This window comes from Homo sapiens, chromosome 13, assembly GCF_000001405.40.
Source record: "Homo sapiens chromosome 13, GRCh38.p14 Primary Assembly".
In the NCBI taxonomy this organism is placed as follows: domain Eukaryota; kingdom Metazoa; phylum Chordata; class Mammalia; order Primates; family Hominidae; genus Homo; species Homo sapiens.
In genome coordinates this window covers 67,298,176-67,319,467 of record NC_000013.11, presented here as the reverse complement: position 1 = coordinate 67,319,467, position 21,292 = coordinate 67,298,176, and the positions used below count along the sequence as shown (strand labels likewise).

Here is a 21,292-nt window from a genome sequence, read left to right as displayed (position 1 = left end):
TTTGCTTCTGATTATGCCTATAACAATGCCATTGATCTATTTCTAACCTGCATAATGGAGAGATGAAGAAAAATGTATAGACACATACACATTTGCATACTTGTTTTGTACAAGATTAGGTATTTTATTAAGGTTATGGAAAGAAAATCTATTATTCAATGCTCACATTTGTTTTCATCCTGTACTATTGGTTTTAGAATATAATTTTTTTGAGATAAGGGTGTTGTGGTCTTGTTAATCTGCTCCAAAGCCATTTTGGTGTCATGCACACATTGTACACTAATTGGATTCCTGATGCATCTTTAAAAACTAATTTCAAAACACTAAGTAATCAGAGGCTTTGTCTTCAATACAAGACATTGCATCAGCAAAAAGTGTTTATTACTCAGCCACCTGTGCTCTGCACAAAGCAATTTAAGCAGACTCAGTCCCTGCCCTGAGGAACTGTCTAAAGCCAGTGCCATTGCAACATTCAAAGACAGTCAGACAACTGTACTAATGACAAACACAAGCTACTAACATTATTAAAAAACAAAAGAACCCACTCCATAATGTTATTTGAATCACAAGATGAACTAGTATTTTATTTTGGAAAAAAAATGACATGAGAACTTGCTGAATATTCAATAAACAGTTGTTGAATTAAATAATGCACGCAACAATCACATTTAGAATTTAAAGAGAGAAAAATTAAAATGTAAAATTTGGTTTCTTGATTAGAGTAGATAGGGCACACTCCATAAGAAGTGGACTTGTAGATAGTTTATTTAACTGAGAATTATGTTCATATGTGCTTTTCTGCAAATTCCATGAGATTGTGACCTATTTGAAAGTGAGAACCAAGAGATACTACTATTTGTGTATCAGTTTCACCACAGTGTCTGGCAAAAGTACAGACTTTACTGAAATGTTTAGGGTGACTAATAATGAAAAACATAAAACAATATTGGAACAGGTTTTCTACAAGTAGTGAAGTTCCTGCCTATGTCTTCTTACTAGGACTGATAGGATTATGAATGTATTCATTCCTTTCAGTAACATGGAGATATTAGATCACCTCAGGTTTTTCTGTAACACGTCCCCTTAATGGAGATTTCCCTGTTTGCTTTGTAATCTCCACTATCAAATTCAATTACAAAAAAAAAAAAAAAAGAATTTCCAGTTTAAAGCAGTTGAGTCCATTTTGCAAGCCCATTAGATACGGCAGCTCTGGATATGCCACATGACTCCAGGTGCACCATTTACATAGATACATAAATGTAATTGAGAATGATACCCCAGGAGTTGTGCATTGTGGTAGCCCTGAGTGAGTTAAAGTGGCATAGATGATTCTCGATATAGACTATGATCCTTCACACAAACTGATGTGTGCAGACACTACCCATTAAAGCAATTTTTTTACTAGAAAACTCAGCCTCTCCGATACCATTCAGGACATAGGCACAAGCAAAGATTTCAGAAGAAAAACTCCAAAAGAAATTGCAACAAAAGCAAAAATTAACAAATGGAATCTAATTAAACTAAGGAGGTTCCGCACAGCCAAAGAAACTATCATCAGAGTGAACAGACAACCTACAGCATGAGAGAAAAATTTTGCAATATATCCATCTGCCCAAGGTCTAATATCCAGAGTCTACAAGGAACTTAAACAAACTTACAAGAAAAAACAAACAACCCCATTAAAAAGTGGGCAAAGGACATGAACTGACACGTCTTAAAAGAAGACATACAGGCAGCCAACAAACATATGAAAAAAAGCTCAACATCTCTGATCATTAGGAAAATGCAGATCAAAACCACGATGAGATACCACCTCACACCAGTCACAATGACAATTATTAAAAAGTAAAAAGAAAACAAATGCTGGTGAGGTTACATGCTGGTGAGGCCGTGGAGAAAAAGGAACACTTTTCCACTGTTGTTGGGAGTGTAAATTAGTTCAACCATTGTGGAAGACAGTGTGGCAATTTTTCAAACATCTAGAGGCAGAAATACCATTTGACCCAGCAATCCCTTTACCGGGTATATACCCAAAGGAATATAAATTATTATATTTTATATATATAATATATGTATATATATGCACGTATATGTTAATTGCAGCACTATTAACAATAGCAAAGACATGGAATCAAGCCAAATGCCCATCAATGATGGACTGGATAAAGAAAATGTGGTACATATACACAATGGAATACCATACAGCCATAAAAATAAATGAGATCATGTCCTTTGCAGGGACATGGATGGAGCTGGAAGCTATTGTTCTCACCAAACTAATGCAGGAACAGAAAACCAAACACTGCATATTCTCACAAGTAGGAGCTGAACAATGAGGACATATGGTGGGGAACATCACACACTGGGGCTATTGGGGGTAATAAAGCAGGGGGAGAGAGAGAGCATCAGGAATAATAGCTAATAGATGCTGGGCTGAATACCTAGGTGATGGGCTGATCTGTGCAGCAAACCACCATGGCGCACATTTACCTATGTAACAAACGTGCACATCCTGCATATATACCCCAGAACTTAAAATAAAAGTTGAAGAAAAGAGAAAAAAAAAAAGAACACTTGGCCTCTCTTCCGCTATAAAAGTGTTTTCCCAAAATATAAGCTTTTTTTTTCTTCTAGTGGAGAAGAAATAGATTAACAGAAGAACCTACAGCATTAAAATCCTAAAAACCTACAGCATTCTCATAAATCTGTTCTAGGAAAAATGAATTACTTTTGTCAAGTCATGAAATAGCTTTATTTGATAAAGTTTTGAGGCCAGAACTCATCAAATTAAATTTAATTGTTCAAGTCAATTTTTAAATATTGATCATCTGTAATCAGATGTGTGCTTTGATACAAGCTTATCAAATATTCTAACCAGAAAAATATTCTAAGCAGTTTCTGCCTTGAAAGAGTTTTCTGGGGAAATGAGAATGACAGAGTGTATATACTGAGGTCAGATCTTTTGCTATTAAGACACATAAGGAAATAATTCTTACAAAACATGTAAGAGAGATTTTTGTATAATCAGGTTACCTTAAATTCATATCTTGTGTCATCATTTTCAAAGTGTATTAAACATAGAAAGACAGACAGAGAGAAAAAGAGAGAGTGATACTTTAGAGAAAGAGAGGAAAACAATCAATGTGTAAAGGAAATAAACATTTCATTTCAAACTTACTGTAGTAAGCTAATGGTTCCTGCATCAGGTCATAATCCACAGAATCTGTGAATGTTACCATATTTGAAAAAGCATCTTTGCAGATATGATTAAATTGAGGATGTTAAGATGGAGAGATTGTCCTAGATTATTAGGATGGTCCCTAAATGCGATCACATGCATCTCTTTAAGAGGAATACAGCAAGAGAGAAAGGAGATAAATGAGAAAAAGATGTAAGAACAAAACAGAGATTTGAAGATGCTGAGCTGCAGATCTGAACAATGAAGGAGAGAGCATGAGTGAAGGAATGCAACCTTAGAGTCTGGAAAAGGCAAGGAAACATTTTCTTTCCTACAGTCTCTGAAAATATACCCACCCCACCAAAACCTAGGTTTCTGCCCAGTGAAATACACTTTTAGACTTCTGACCCCCAGAACTGTAGGTGAATAAATGTGTGTTGTTTTAGGTCACTAAGTTTGTGGTAATTTGTTACATCAGCCACGGGAAACTAATATACCTACTTTGAAATATAGAACTAGAGTCTTTTAACACTCTCCTGATGATATGCCTTTCTCTTTTCTTTAAAATAATGGAATAATTTCAAACACAAACAGCTTTATGAAGGTTTAGCAAATTAATCAAATAATATTTAACTATATTTTTCTGTTCATTTGCTCTACTTTGTTTCTATTTATTGGGTATTCCTTTAACTCTAGGCTTACACTTAAATTCTAGTACCATGATGTATCAATATGTTTTACATTGCCATAAAGGAATTCCTGCGGCTGGGTAATTTAAGAAGAAAGGAGGTTTATTGGGCTCACAGTTGTGTGAGCTAGTCAGGAAGCATAGCACCAGCATCTGCTTCTGGTGAGGCCCTCAGGAAGCTTTTGCTCATGGAAAGCAAGGGGACCTAGTGTATCACATGCTGAGAGAAGGAGCAAGAGAGTAAGGAGAAGGGTGCCATGCTCTTTTAAACAACCAGTCCTCCATGAACCGCTAAGGGGAGAACTCACTTATTAACATGGGAGAGCACCTAGCTAGTCATAAGGGATCCACACCCCAACACCTAAACATCTCCCACCAGGCCTCACTTCCAATATTGGGGGTCACATTTCAACATGAGATTCAAAGGAGACAAATATCCAAATTGTATCACATGTGACATACACATTTGACACATCTTGACAATTCATTTGATTGTTCAACATTTCTCTGCTTTTTCCTACGTTGTCTCATAATATAAATTATAGATAGTTTAATTTTAATGTTGTGCTACCAGAATTTAAAATCCTACTGTATTAATATGATATTCTATTGCCGATGGAACAAACTTGGTGGCTTTCACAAACTTGGTGGCTTAAACAATACACATTTATCACCTTTCAACTTGTAGTTCACAAGTTAGACCTGGGTCTCACTGGAATAAAATTGAAGTGTCAGTGGACCTATGTTCCTTTCTGAAGGTTCTAGGAAAAATTCTGTTTCACTTTTCCAGATTCTAGAGACCTTCCACATTCCTTGGCTGGGGCCGCTATCTCCACCTTCAAAGCCAGCAATGGTGGTTCCAGTTCTTCTCATGCCACTGTCTTTAAATTCTCTGCCCTCAACTGGGAAAGGTTCTCTGCTTTTAAAATCTCATGTGATTGAAAATGTCCTCACAGAGTTGACAAGAAATCCACTCTGGGTTCTGGACAGAAACATAGCTATAATTAGGCATTAATCAGGCTGAACTTTGGCCCACTTCCTTGTTGCTAAAAATCGCATAGCACTAGATACTGAAGATTTGCATCCCCATTTATCCTACAGGCACGATCTCTGACATTAGAGTCACAAAGCTTTTGTTTAAGGATCACTTAAGATGTTGTTCAGACCCTGAATTCCAGCAACCAATTTGAAGACTCCCACAGAGGAGTACATCAGGCAATGAACCTATTACGTTTACATTATTTGATTGGGTGCATCTGGATATTCCAGGATAATCTCTCATCTCAAAGTCTGTGCCACCCTTAACCATATTGGCAAAGACACTTTTTCCTGTAAGGCAACATTGTCACAAGTTCTCGTAATTATGCTTGGACATCTCTGGGAGCTATTATTCTGCCACCACACCAATCTACTACCCACATGTATTATTTATACTATTAAAATCTAAAATATGTTGATTGCTAGATATTTTAAATAATAATGGCAGCCATTTTAAACATTAAACTCTTTGCAAAAATTTTTTTATTTTATTCTTGAAACAAATTGTAGATGATTAACAGAAAAAATCAGAAAGGGTAGAGATGACATGGCCATTTTACACATGAAATACAGGTATGAATTGTGTTATTTCATTCGTGAATATCAGATTTTCATTATTATATTATGATATGCTCATGTTTGAGTCATAAGATCTGAGTTTTAAAGTTTCTAGACAGGTTTGGGTATACTTTCAGGTGGGAAGATAAAGAAAGCCTCTGTCTTATAAAGATAAACCTGAAGGAATGAAGAGAAATAGTGGATCTCAAAGATAAGTAAACTTAAATTTGAAGTCGATTCAATGGTGGTTCCAAGGAGTAGCCTGGACTTTTATAGCTCTCCCTGCTGCTCAACACTAATGTCTATAACATTCCTCAAAACCTGTAACACAAAGAGTTTATTTCGTTTGCTATACAAATGTAGCTCAATGTGCACATGCAACTTCAAAATCAGCATGTTCTTCAAAACATAGCACTTTAAACAACTCCTGTATAGGTTTCTTTTATTACAATGAAGTTGTATTATCCAGTTGCATAAGACTGCTTATGTTCATATTCGTTTCTTACCTTCACACACTGGTACTCAAGTTATTATTATTATTTTTTACATCCTAAATTATAATTTCTGGCCTTTGTATATGTCTTATAATCAATGCCAAGAGAAATGTGCCAGATGACAATCAGATTCAAAGTTTGAGGTTCACCATCAATTTTACTATCTACCCAGGGGCAAACCTAGTCATAGGCCTTACTTGTTTATCTTTTTGTCAACTTATTTGCCAGTACAACACAGCAGAGATTTAAATTTTAACTTAAATTGAGATCCCTGAACATTTTTTAAAATGTCCTCGGCCGGGCTCAGTGGCTCACGCCTGTAATCCCAGCACTTTGGGAGGCCGAGGTGGGCGGATCACGAGGTCAGGAGATCGAGACCATCCTGGCTAACACGATGAAACCCCGTCTCTGCTAAAAATACAAAAAATTAGCCGGGCGTGGTGGCGGGCGCCTGTAGTCCCAGCTACTTGGGAGGCTGAGGAAGGAGAATGGCGTGAACCCGGGAGGCGGAGCTTGCAGTGAGCCGAGATTGCGCCACTGCACTCCAGCCTGGGCAACATAGCAAGACTCCGTCTCAAAAAAAAAAGTCCTCAAAATAATAGCACTGTGATCCAGCACAAAAAGATTTTTATTTTCCAACACAGAAAGTGGCCTGTCACATACCAGGAAATGTAATCAAAGGTGGTAGAAATTGCCAAATTTCTCAGTGTAGAATAAATCTTTTCAAAGCTAGAAGTTCATGGTGAATGGATTCATACATGATGAAGAATATGACACAGATACCAACAGCTTCCAAAAGAAAAATGTGTTGGCAGATTTTCAGGAAGAACTAGTTAACTTTCAACAATATTTAATTTAATTATGATAAAAACAAAACAAAAATTTAGACAAATAGAAAATGCAGACAGAATTATGAGTCTTTCATATAGCTAGAATTTACATACTGAGGCTTAAAGATGCTTATATACTGAAGCTTAAAATATCATTAAAAATTAGAAGTGTATCACAATGATGCAATAATTGTCAATTTCCTGAGGTGATTTCACAAAAATATTTGTACTCTGAAGTTGAATTAGGTATAGACTTGAATTCTCATTGTGACATTTAAGAAAGAAAGTGGGTAAGAATTGAAAACATAGCATTACCAATTTTTGATTCATTAAAAAAAAGTTTTTTGTTTGTTTTTTGAGATGTAGTCTTGCCCTGTCACCCAAGGTGGAGTGCAGTGACACAATCTCAGCTCACTGCAACTTCCTCCTCCTGGATTCAAGCGATTCTCCCATCTCAGCCTCCCGAGTAGCTGGGATTACTGGTGTGCACCCCCATGCCCAGCTAATTTTTGTATTTTTAGTAGAGACGGGGTTTTGTCATGTTGGCCAGGCTGGTCTCAAACTCCTGACTTCAAGTGATCTGCCTGCCTTGGCCTCCCAAAGTGCTGGGATTACAGGAATGAGCCACCACGCCCAGCCAAAAAATATATGTTTTTAATAGGGAAAATTATCAAAAAGTTGATTGTAAGTTTTCTAACTAGATTAGGTGTTAGCTTCCAGAAAATATGACAGTGAAGTCATGATTAAATGCCCTAGCTATATTTCAGTTGTGTTCCAAGGAATTAGGGGGCCCCAATTCACTGGGTTCATTCTGGAGCTGCTATGAAAATTAGTGAGGTTGGGTGCGGTGGCTGTAATCCCAGCATTTGGGAGGCCGAGGCGGGTGGACCGCCTGAGGTCAGAAGTTTGAGATTAGCCTGGCTAACATGGCGAAAACCTGTCTCCACTAAAGATACAAAAAAAAATTAGCCAGGTGTGGTGGCCCTTGCCTGTAACCCCAGCTATTTGGGAAGCTGAGACAGGAGAATGTCTTGAACCTGGAAGGTAGAGGTTGCAGTGAACCGAGATCACCTCATTGCACTCCAGCCTGGCGAGACTCTGTCTCAAAAAGAAAATAATAATAATAATAATAATAATAATAATAATAATAATAATAAAGAAAATTAGTGAGAGCGTGTCAAGAGAAAGATGGTCTCATAAAAAAAGAGTCAAGACTATGAGTTTTGACCATCACTCCTCCTATCATCAATCTTCAAGGATTGTTTTAGTTTTATTTTAAAAATTTCCCTTGAGTTATTCAATTAATAAATGGTCATATGATTCCAAATCTTACGCTCAGGTCCCGCAGGATACTGAATTTTTAAGTTTCTAATTTAATTATTTCAATTTCATAGTTAAAGACATTATGTTAGAAATTATGAAACATGGACCGAAATGTGTCTATTCTGGATGGCTCTGAGAAAGATACTAAAGTGGTTTTTCCACTCAAGTCATCAGGAAACTAAATGTTGTTCTTCAAGTGCATTCACTCTATCCAGTTGTCTATGTGTCTGGAAAGGAACACTTTTTAAAGTATGGACTTTACAAAGACATCAGATAATTAGTTGTGAAAGAAAGAGTCCACACTGTGGAATGAGAGGAGATACATAGGCCCACACAACAAGACTGCTTTCAGTAACCTATATTAGGTTACTATATTAACTATAAATATTCTATATATAAAATTCTATATCGTATTATCTACATATTCTATATTAATTCTATATAGATTCTATATTAATTATCATGAACTCTTAAATAAATATTTATTAGAACATTTAGGCAAGTATGACTAAGAACAAATATCTTGGCTGGCCTCTATTCATCACTGAAGAGATGCATTGTCCTTTATTTGGTTATTGCATGCCCATGCTGTTTTATCTTGGCAAGATTATTTCTTTGAAGCTGGATACTTATTACTTACTGCTTCCCCAATTTCCCATTGTCAACCAAAAATGAGTACCCCAGACATAGTGTAACTGACATAAGCATCCACACTCACTATATTCCAATCCTATACCTCCATGTCAACTGAAGCAATGTATATGCATAGTTACTCCAGCAGTTCTCTACTATGCAGCAAGAATGTTAAATGTCCAGTATAATAGTCCAGGTTGATATTTCTTGCCCACAAGAACCTTGTCACCTCCTCTAGATCCTTCTCTCTCCATCCTTTCCATAATATAAAAAATCTATATTTTTTCTAAATAGCTCAAAGAATATCTACAATATTTACCAATCCTTACCACCTTGTTTTCACACTCCTTGAAGCTATGGGAGTCTTTTCCTTTTGTTGGTATATGAACCCCCTGCCAAAGATCATCCTGCACATTTTTGTCTTTTCTTCCTCTGTTCCCTTTTCTCTGAAAATTGTTTTATTTTTAGCAAAATAGTACATGTCCATGGATTTGCAATCAGAGATGTAGGAAACTTGTTATGAAAAATTAGGTGTGCCTCGTCTTTCTTTATATGCCATTCCCAGAGGCAGCAATTTTCGTGTCATCTTTTATTGTAACTTTATACACATTTCTTCTTGATTTTTTTAGTCATAGATATTATATATCTAACTTATTTATTTTTAACTATTACCTATGAAATTATATCTTTGGATGTTTGGGGCTTATCTTCCTTACCTTCAAACAACCACCATAACCCTCCTATCTACATTAATCCAAAACAGACATTCCCCAAATGATGCTATCCTTTCAGTGTAGCTAGAAGAAAATATTGGGTAATATGCTCTTTATTATTTCTATTAACATTTTCCTTTAATTTTTGACTATGATCTGTAGCTGAGTTATGTGATATATTGGTATACTATTTCCTTTCTTGTACAATTTCTTTCCCCCTCATAGTTATAGTACAGCATATTTATAACTAATGAGAGGTGTTTTTGTGTACTTTAATTTATCCTCAAACTTGCCCATAGAAGTGAATATCTCCTTTAAAACAAACACATCAGTATTTCTATTAGTTTCTTTTTTTCCTTCTTTTTTTTGGAGAAAGTGTTACTGGAATTCTCAGTTCTCCTGCTCCAATATAAATAGTCTCCTCTATATGTCAGCTGTGTGACTGTCATTCTGGGTGTTTCTCTTGTGCTGGTCTCTTTTTCTCGTATTAACCATTCTCCACAGATGTCTCACATTCCTTGCCTCTCAACTCCTATTGAGGAAAGAGGCACAAGTAATCCCCTGCTCTGAGTTGATTAGCCATTGATTATTATTGAGATCCATCAGCCTAGTTGAGAATATGTAGCTCTTTTCTCTTAAGTTTCCAGGTTTTTCTTCCTCAGAAAGAATAGTTCCAATCTGAAAATGTCTGCCCCAATCTACAAGCAAGTTCAAGAAGGAGGTGAGGAATCACCTGTTAAGCATGTAAAAATCTCACTTACTCCTGTTTTTATTCCATCAGTACCATCTTCACGTGTATTTCTGCAGTCCTCTAATTCAACTTCAGAGAGGAATCTATAGAATACTCACCAGCATTGCCTGGCTGTGCATGAGGGACAAGAGAACCTTTGATAACGTTTTATAACAAATTTTCAAACAATCTTCTGGCTTCTAACCAAAGCAGCACACCTTTTTATAACACACTCCCATTCCTGAGACTTTTCATAATATCTAAAGTATTTCTTAACCATCTCCCTGAAAGCTTAACTATCAACTTTCTCAACCCTGCTGAGTTTCACCCACATTTCAAACTTGTTGACATATATACTATCTTCTTGACTCTCCTTTCTTGATGCTTATATGTTTATAACTTTTTAAAATTCTTCATTGTTACATTGACAGAGTTTCCAGAGAATGTGTAGATAGAAGCATGTGTTCAACCCACCATGTTTAACTGGATCTCTGCTTCTTTTTCAATCAATTTCTCATTAGTGAAAATTTCACCTAACTGTTGTCCTCATTAGACTGCAATGTTTTTCATTTCTCCCTTATTATAAAGTCATGGAGGTTTCATCTCCTAGGAGATGGACAATATCTCTGTGCAAGTTTCACTATCTTCAGCACCAATTACGTAGCTGACTGTAAAGCAAACTGGAGTTAGCAGTGTTTCTACCTGCAGCCATCAAACGAGAACTCTAAGTAATACCGAAACCATCCTCACATGTTCACTAACTGGAAACAATTTTTTTCTCTCAGTCTGTAATGGCTGAAAGTTGATTCTTTAAATACACAGACTCCACAGGCTATTTTTCTATGGAACTTCTGCTTCCCTAAAACATGTTCTGTTGTCTCTCTGTTGGCACTTTATTTTTCCAATTTGTACAAATTTGATGCTTTTTTTTTTCTCTCTGAGAAGCTTAGTGCTGCTGCTCTTTAGAAATAAGATACTCACAGTACTGTAATGAGGCACACACCTTTAACCTGAAACATGGCATCGAAATTCCTCCTTGATAACTCATGATTGTTGTTCTGCAAATTACACCACCAAAGAGGGGAAAAAAGAAACTTTAGGCTCAGGATTTTATGAAAAAAGATGATGTAATCTAAATACTCTGCATGAGTCAAAGAGAGAAACTTGTTTTACCTGAAGTCACAGAAGATCAGGATACTTTGGAAAAAAGGCCAGGAAAGTAGTGATTATTTTGTATTAATTTCAACATAAAAAAGTTCACATACTCTTGACTCTGAATTCTTGGAAAAGAAGAGAAAAATGGCATAAAAGAAAGATACAAAGAGCTTTAATTATATTTTTAATGTTTTATCTCTCAAAAACAAATCTGAATGAAATATGGGAAAATGTTAGGATATATTACACTATGTGGTAGGCATATAAACATTTGTAATATTTCTTTCTATATGTTTATATATGCTTAAAATACTTCATAATTTAAGAAAAGGCAATAACAAAGGAATATGAACTAGTATAAATTTGAAAATCATACCTGTGATTGTGATATTAGAGACATGACTGTGACTTAGAGAACAAAATCTATGGTTGGAAGTTTATAAATATCACGCAGATTAGCATTTTCCCCAGTCTATGGGACTTAGGTCTAGGATTTCTTCAAAATTTGTCCAAATTTGATCTTTTATCTGAGAGGTAAATTAAGAAGAGAAAGGGATTAGGAAAGTAAAAAGAAGTAGCAATTATCTTTCACAATGAAAAGAAAAAGCAGAATTATCAAAGATGAAATACAGGACCGACCCCGCAAAATGAAATGTTCTTTCCATTGTACAATTACTCCTCTGTGAAGGCAGATTCCAAACCTCTGTTGCCTTTCCCCCACCCGCTAATTGTGCCTCATTTTTTTGGTTAGTTTTTATGTTATGCCTTATTTCTGGATATATATATATATGTGTGTGTATATATATATATGTGTGTGTATATATATATGTGTATATACTTTTTAAATGTCTTATATCCTAATTAAGACCATACAGTTTACAGCATTATCATTTGATATCAATTCTGACTTGTCTTTGTTAACATAGCATTATCTAAACTTAATTGAGGGTTGGAGGAGCTTTTTATTTTTTAAACATGGAGTCCCTATTGTCATACGGCAGTTACTAGTATCCCATGGAATACACCTTGAAAATGATGAATTAGATGAATCCCTAAGGTGCATTCAAGGGCTAATATTAAATGATTCCATCATTTCCTTGAAATATTGCCCCTTTCTGTGCTGCTGGTGGATGTTCTGCTGCAGCTTATTAAACAGCAGATGCTTAGGTATCCTGCTGTCATCCAGGGAGCAGGTTTATTTTGTAGCAAGTGACACTTCCAGATGGTGAACTGGATGCAGTCTAGCAAGCTGTTGATGAAATGGCTCAGGAAGTGGTGTAAGGCATTTGTGGGCAGTCCAAAATTCATTCAAAATTAGATATTAACACTGTGCTTTATGCATTCAAATGGCTTGGAACTTAATGCTAATGTTCAACCTTGTCCATTAAGGTCACAAAGGTCATACTTTATTATTAAACTCTATGCTTTTACTCTGTTAGAGTGTTATATCAGTAACCATTTTGTAAAGAGTTTCCAGTTCTGTCTTACAAATAAAAAATTATCATATCTAGTGCATTGATAGATATACGACATCCTTTTCAAGCGTAAATACATGCAGTATTTATATGCTCTAAAATCTAGCAAAGTAAGCTATATTTTTATTTCTCATTTTTATTGTTTTATATTTTCAGATAAAATTAATTATTCATTAACTGTTTTCTCAAATGATTTTTAAGACATTATTTTAAGAATTAGGGATCAAGTGCTATTAATTTATTCAAGTAAGTGTTGGTATTAATATCTAGATCTAGAAAAATAGAGAACAAGAAGTATAAATACTCCTAAACTGGAGAAAACATCGAATAAGTGAAATTACTACATGTTATATAAAAGCACATAAAGAACTTATTTTAGAATTTATGTGTGTTATTCTGAAATAAATACCATAGCATTAACATAGTTTTCCACTTTCTCCCTATTTGCTTCACAAAAATAGTATTCTCAGTTGTCTCACAGCAATCACTTCTCTAAATTATTTATGTTAGCATATGCCTATGCTTTCACCAATTATATTATTTTAGTTTCATAGATCCAGCAGGATTCATATCAATGTAATTAATTTTATCTGAGAATTTAACTTGAGAATTTAGCTTTGTAAATATCATGATTCAGGCACATAGTGTCATCTACATGCAAAGCATCCTGTTTTCAGACAACTAACTATGAAAAACATGAGCTCTATCTCTATGGAAAACTAAAAAAAAATCCAAAACTTACTAAAACATCTGTGTTAGTTATCTATTATCACATAACAAATTACTCTAAATTTAACAGCTTAAAAAACCATTTTATTCTACAGTTCCTGTGGGTCAGGATTCTAATTATAGTCTAACGTGGTCTTCTGGCTTACAGTCCCAACGGGATGAAATCAAACTGTTGGCAGAGCTGCAGCCTCATGTGAAGGCTCATGTGGTTGTTGGCAGGTCTTGGATCCTCACCATAGAGCTTCCTCATGACATGGCAGCTGGCTTCCCCCAGGGTTAATGATCTAACAGAGAGCAAGATGGAGTACCCACGAGAAAAGCCATAGTCTTTTTATAACCTAAACTTGAAAGTGACATCCCATCGCATTTGACATACTCTATTCCTCAGAAGAAAGTTTAAGAAGTCCCACCAACACTCCAGAGGGGATTACAGAAGAGCACAAATGCCAGAAGGAATGGTCACTGGGGACTACCTTAGAAAACGACTACCACAGTATTTTCATTTCTTAAGTGATTAAAGTAAGTACAATGTTGACTCTTGTGTTTTTAAAACAGAAAATTATCAAGACAGAATAAAGTTATTCAGCTCTTACAAATATGGAATTAATACCCAAGAAATTATTAAAAAAACAGAAGTCTCATTGAGGCAATTTTCCATTTCTTATATAAATACATCTGGCTATAATGTTAGTTGATAACTGGCTTCACAGAATTCTACACTAGAAAGGGTAAATTGCTCCATCTGAAAGAAGATGTGACTGACTCCTATGGGAAATATTTATGCATATGGACCATATATGTGGACATATATCCTATGACAAGTTACAGTAACTCTATTTGATAAAATAATCTTGTGTACTTTCTAAAAGTAACTACTAATTTTAATGCCATGAAGCAAAACAAAATTATTATAACACTATAAGAGGTTAACGTCTTTTGAACAGGCATTTAAAAATATTTTTATAATTTTAATAGTTCTTAACAATTTTAAGTTTCATATCAGTAAATCATTGTATTTACTGTAGAAGAAAATATTTCTGTTCCTCTGAACAAGGAACAATGAAAAATGGGCAATTTAAACCTACCTCTGATATATAAAAAGCCATAGACATATTGGCAGGGGAACAACATACACTGAGGCCTCTCAGAAAGCTGGCAGGAGGGAGAGCATCAGGAAGAATAGCTAATGGATGCTGGGCTTAATACCTAGGTGCTGGGTTGATCTGTGTAGCGAACCACTATGGAAGACATTTACCTATGTAACAAACTTGTACATCCTGCACATGTATCCTGGAACTAAAGTAAAAGTTGATGAAAAAAAAAAAAGCCAACAATGAACTGAGAATGAGAAGGATGCCTGCCTTCCTCTCCTTTAGATAATATTTTCTCTATTAGGTTTATAATTTCTACCCAAATTGCAACTTATATTTTATACCATTTAAGGACCTTAATATAAAGTTATTTATATGCAAGTGAAAGTTCAGTTAATCAATTAATTATTATGTTTTCAGTTAATAAAATCTATACTATGAAAGCATTCAACAGATTGATTCATTAGAAATGTGTAGAAAATATCTGTTGCTTTACCAAGTCATTCTCCAAAATCAATATAGCCTCGCACACTACAGATTAATGCTCACCCTTTTTTCAAATAATCCTAATTGCCATCCCATATCTAGGCATTAAAAAAGTAGCCTATTTTGATCAATATTTCATGATAGATAGCTTTAATGATAGCTAGCCATATCTCACAGCTTTTATTTATTAAGCTGACACAGAAAATTAGCTCTGCTTTTTCTTGCTTATGATTTGCACTTGTGCAGGAGCCAGATGGCAGTAAGAATCAGATAAAAGAATAATAAACTTCAGCTAGAGAAATTGAGATTGTTTGAAACAACATATCATTTCAAAGTATAAAAACCCTGACGGTTAAATCCTTTTCCTTTTGCTCCTTGCCTGAGCTGTCTAATGCATTTATTTCCATCTACCTTTATTGGAGAATCTGTCCATTAAATTAAACCACGGAAATACAGGGCAGATGAGTCTTCGTTCAGGGAACTAACAAGCCCACTTAGTCATGAGCAGCGCATCAGATGAGCTGTAGTTTTTCACCTTTCTTACACACCTGGGAGGCATTAGACAACTTTTGCTCTAAAGAGGACTTTTTTCCTTGTCCACTGGAAATACTTTTCTTACACAGACTCTAAATAATGAGCCACTTTAAGGTAACTCTGCGTAGAGGGACTTACATAGCAGAAGTACATCACAGGATGTATGCTATTAGAAACCCAGGCTCATTACTTTGATGTGCCAAACGATGCCACAATTCAAAAATTCCTAAAGCTCTATCTGTTTGGCATGCAGTGAGGGAAGTAAGTGACAAATAAAGACGTTATAATACAACCTTGCTTCCTTCACATCAAGCCCTGTATGAAACAGAAATCTGCCTCTCAGAAAAAAAAAATCTTTGGGCTACTTGCTTGAGCATAGATCCATAGGGAAATAATAAATATGTCCTTACTGTACAAGGGGTTAGATTTAATGGCAGATTACATGTAGTTAATTGAAAAGTTATTCCAACAATGTATAAAAAGAACATAGGAGATTGAACCAGTAAATGAAGAAGAGCAAGAGATGAAAAGTCAAATAATAATGAAATATGTAAAGATACGCAAATACGTGTCAGTATAATATAACCTGTGTATCTGCATGACTCAAATGCCAATAAAATAAAAATGAAAAAAAATGTAGAAATTTTATTATTTCCAAATTGCTTAGGTGGACATCTTGGTAAATTAGCCATCTCTGTATCATTCCATAATTCTGGGAGGGTGAGAAAATCGGGTGTGTGCCTGTAGGTTTTGAAAAAAATAAACATTTTCAGTATGAACTATAGTACATTGGAATTGCTAAAAAGCCGTTTGGTAATGAAACTTGATTTTGTGACACTATTTGAACTGACAATTTGGCATAATTATGGAAAATGATTCTAATATTTTTATTAATAAATAAATAAAGCAAGTTGAAATAACTAAAGGGGTAGGATAAGCTATGTATGAATACTTTATTAATGATTGTGGATGTTTTTCATATGAAGAATAATAAATTCTAATTCTTTTTCTCACTTATGATTTATGATTTATTTTTTCTTGCTTATGATAGGAAAAAGAAGGTCAACAGATAGTCATATGCACACAACTGCAGTCTACATATTTCCATTTCTTCTATGATAATTGACTTCTATTCATATTATTAATAATAATCACTTTTAATAAAGCAACTATAAAAAGATAATACTGATGGATATCATCCTGAATTGGTTTGGATCAAATCAATACACATTTGACAGAGTTAAAGATTTAAATTTTTCCAAAAGTAATTAGCTTATTTTTTTAACTAAATTTCAAAATTCTGTAAATAAATAAAACTTTCTCCCCACAAATAAACTAAATTCAATGCTCCTCAGTACCTTAAGAGTTTAGTGCAATGTAAGCAACAATGAAAATCCCTGTTGTTAATCATTTTTTAATGTTTAATACATAGCTTGAATAAGGAAAATCTTTAAAGTGCCACCATGCCTACCAGTTTATAAAATTGAACATCATTTGAATTATATTAATAGTTGCCCCAGTCTGACACTGTAATTCATCAACCTTCTGAATGATTACAAACTACTTTCTAAATTTTGATTAGTATAACGTATAGGTACAGGCAGCCCTAGGGGAAAAGTGGCCCTGAAATGGAGAATGGGAGACTACCTGAATAACATGAATGGTATCTCTGGGCTCTCAGTAAATTATAGAGTGTAGAGAAATAGATGGAAAAATGGAAGTTTAATCACTGGATGCTAATGAGTAATATATTTACTCACTCATTAGTTGCTTTTCAAAAAATGTTTAAAGTATGCTTTGGTGCAAAAAAAAAAAAAAATGTCAGTTTGTCAATGTCATCTGCCATTGTGCCCCAGACAACAGACAAACTGTTGGTGAACCTATGAACTTAAACCAGAACAAAGGACAGATCTAACCAACTGCTTTAATGGAGTTGAATTCTTAAATTTCAATAAGCATATTTGAATTTCTGTTTATTGTCTCATTTAGGAGTTTTTGTTGTTCACTTAAAAAAAAAGAGTAGAATAGTCATATGATCATAGTTTTAGTGTTAATGCTTAAGGACTTGCAGATGTATCCAATATGTGAGGTCAAGATCGAGGAACTGATTATCAGTTTGTACGTTTGGAAAATCTAAAATTGGAAGAACAGAATTCTGAAAGAATTCTAAAATTCTGAAGAACAGAATTTAGCAATTGAAGAAAAGTCTTTTTGAATTTCAAGACATCTATGCAACCGATATTATTTTTTCTTGTGATAATATTTGTATACACCAACTGTCTACTGTACTTTATTGAAAATTATGTCATATTATGTCAAAATACTTTTGCCACAATGAGATAAAACAATTTTTGGCAAAATTAATACTTTATGGAGCAATAATCTGTAGCTATTTATGTAGTTAATCATAACAAACTTTGCCTGTTTATAGCTCCTTATTATAGAAAAAAAACAATAGAACTTGTACAAAAGTTAAACTGCTGGTATATATGAGCTGCAGTAAAGGCTTTGATTTTAAAAATAAATAAACTGTAAAACCCAAAATATAGTGGATTAAATAAACTGAATGTATTTTTTCTTTCTCATGACAGTCTAGAAATGAGTGGCAGGTCAGATGACCCTACTCCAGGAAATAAGTAGGGTTCGAAGTTCATTTTACATTTTTTGCTTTGCCATTACCAAAACATTATTCTCATCTGCATTACTGAAAATAAGTCAACACTTTTCCATATTGTATCCTGTGAAGAGAGAAAAGGCAGTCTAAAAAATTCATTTAATGAATGAGTTGGATGGTCATTCATTTTAACATTCCATTGAAAAAAAATCAGTCATAACTTAATGCAAGGGAGGTTGGAAGATGTCTCAGTAGTCATATGCCCAAAAAAAATCTACTGTAATACAAGAATGGATTTGGAGCAACTTGGAACAAATGAAACCAAACACATGTGTCCTTCTTCATTCTCACATTGTAGACTCCTTCCACCAGTTATCATGCTTTACTCAAAGTTTGGAATCTCTTAGTCAAGCATCGTCCTCTCCATCCAAGCCTAAATATAACCTTTGAAATTTGGTACCCTATAAACTAATACACATTTTATATCACTACTCCTCACTCAATATGTAACCAAAAACTATATCATTCTATCTAGGCAAATAACTGGCATTGGTAGACTAGGCATTTGGTTTGGTGTCCTTGGAAATAAAATTATCTCAACAAAACAAGAGGTTTTCACCTTATTTTCTTCCAGTCAGTCCTCTGTTAAAATCACAAGACTCAAAGATTTCTTCTAGACATACACCTTGAGCCTCCCAATTCTTCTCTTTTATTTACTTATTCTGAGAAGACACATCCACTCTCCAATGACAGGCAGCTAAATTGAAAATACCCTGAAACAATACAGTTAAGTTGGAAAGTAACGTCCTCCATCACAATTTTACCAGAGACTGGCTCCCTGTTCTGTCTAAAAGGTTTAATTTGGAGGCCCTAAAGATAGGCTGCAAGTGACAATCTCATCTTCTGCTATTTAGGATAAAAAAGCTGTTGGTATTTTAATGCTTTTTGAGCCTAGATTATTGGTTGCTCCATCAATATAATTGCATATTGGAGGCAGAGAGTGCCTCTCTTAGCAATGCTATATTTTCTTCCATATAGGGCTGCAAAAATTATCAGTTCTTGCCTAATCTCAGCTCTCTTTTCTAGTAATTTTGCTAAAACAGCAAAGAGCCGCCAAAACACATCGTTAGTCTGAATTTCTCTAACATTCTAGTAAAACTACAGACTTGGTAAGCATATGGTCTGCCATTGAAGTTTTCACGGGTGATAGCTTTACAACTGTTTTGCCAGGTCCAACATGAGTCATCATGTTTCCAGCTAGAACTCTCATGCCATCTTTTTTCATCTTATCATCTTATAGCAATACCAGTGCCACATAAATTGGGGTTTTGTTTATAGCAGCTCACATCCAGGTACTCTTTTCTGTGTTAATTAAAGACTAAGTTGGTTACAAATAGACCACAAAATACAGTAGTTTAAATATGAGTTATTTCTCTCACATATGCAGTTTGGGTGTGGTCCAGACTTGAAGACATCATGCCTCTGTGAAGCCCTGTCCATGAAGGAACTCAAGTTCCTTCTATTTTGTTGCTCTTTCCTTCCCTAGGTATTGATTTCATCTATATGTCCCTAAATGGGTCATTTTCAATGCATTGTTCAGCCTACGGAAACAGAAACAATCACAGTGAGGACAGGCTACTTCCTTTTGAGAAAGAGGCTCAAACACTGCACAGATTACTTCAACTTCAATTGTATTACAGAGAACTTAGTCACTTGGCAACACTTAGCTGGAGAACATTCCAGACAGACTCCTCTTTAATGAATAACTCATTGAGTCAGCTTCTTGGTGCATTGTGAGTAGACATATTTCAGCTGTCAGTCCTTTTAAGTATGGTTTCAATTTCATAGAGTCTCCTGGCCTAAGGACAAGCCCCATCCCAGAGCAGCCTAATCACAATGACAAATCTCAGTGGGGATACAGAGGTTTGCTTTGCTCAGCAAAATCAAGGACAACTCTGAAATCCCATTCAAGTTCTAGAGCCACCCTACTTTGGGAACATGTCTCCCTGGTTCAAAGGAAAAGTCATTCCTGTGTCCATTGGCAACCCACTTTTTGTCATCCCCTTGTCATTTGTCATTAATTGGCTCATCCATGGCTGGGCTGGAGTGTGACTTCTCTCTCTGTCCAGTGTTTTCTTCCTTGCTTCCACAGTTATTGATCCCAAGAGTCCTCACTAAAACATCTTGCACACCAAACTTCATCTCAGAGTCAGCTTCTTAAGGAACCCAGTAATCAACAATAAGTTATTTCATCTAGTTAACACATATATAAATGTATCTTTTTATAATTTAGCTAGCCACAGTAAGACAAATATTAAGATAATCAATGTCTCTATGGATACTTTTCACATGATTTAAACTCACATCAATATAAACAATATTTCTAAATAAGGAAGCCATCCTCTACTCTCTTCCGTGTGACCACAGTATCAAATGCATAATGAGAATGAAAAAAAATATGTTGCTTTAATAATTTCAGTGTATGTTCCCATACCTCCTTAACAACACACTTACAATATCTGTATCCAAAAGCTACTACCTGATAGAAATAACCAAGATGTTCCTCCTCACTTCATTCCAAATTCATGTTAATTTAGTAGTCAGTGGTGATACTCCTTCCCTCTCTGCTTTTATTTATAACAACTAGCTTTTGTTTAAATGGCTCATGCCAAAGCCAGTACATCATACACCCCTAGAAACTAAATAAGGGTGTCATTGGTCAGCCTAATAAGCAATGCTTGTAAAAGGGAGAAATGCATATAAAAGAAGGAACATGAAGTCTATGAGGGTTTCACAAGAGCAGAAAGATTTAATGTGCTTCTTCCCCATCTTAATGACAAATGAAAAAGGGAGAATGAAAAGGAGGTTGCCAGTGGGCACAGGAATGACTTTTCCTTTGAACCAGGGGAGAGACGTTCCCAAAGGAGAGAAATAAACAAAGGTGAAAATTTTCTGCCAGTTAGAAGGTAAGATTTCACTCTGAATAGACTGTGCCATTTCTATTGTGCCATTGTGCTTTTTTC

General features: G+C 35.0%; 1 long non-coding RNA gene across 2 annotated transcripts in view; it reads left to right on the top strand.

Annotated features, from left to right (window-relative positions):
- LOC105370246 (uncharacterized) overlaps nucleotides 1-21,292 on the top strand; it is a 69,539-nt gene that overhangs the window by 6,665 nt on the left and 41,582 nt on the right. The window contains exon 3 of one of the 2 annotated variants that reach the window (XR_942037.1): nucleotides 13,933-14,057. The exons of the other annotated variant lie outside the window; for it this stretch is intronic. This is a non-coding gene — a long non-coding RNA (uncharacterized LOC105370246). Of the gene's footprint in view, nucleotides 1-13,932; nucleotides 14,058-21,292 lie in introns of those variants that run through there. 2 annotated transcript variants of the gene reach the window in all.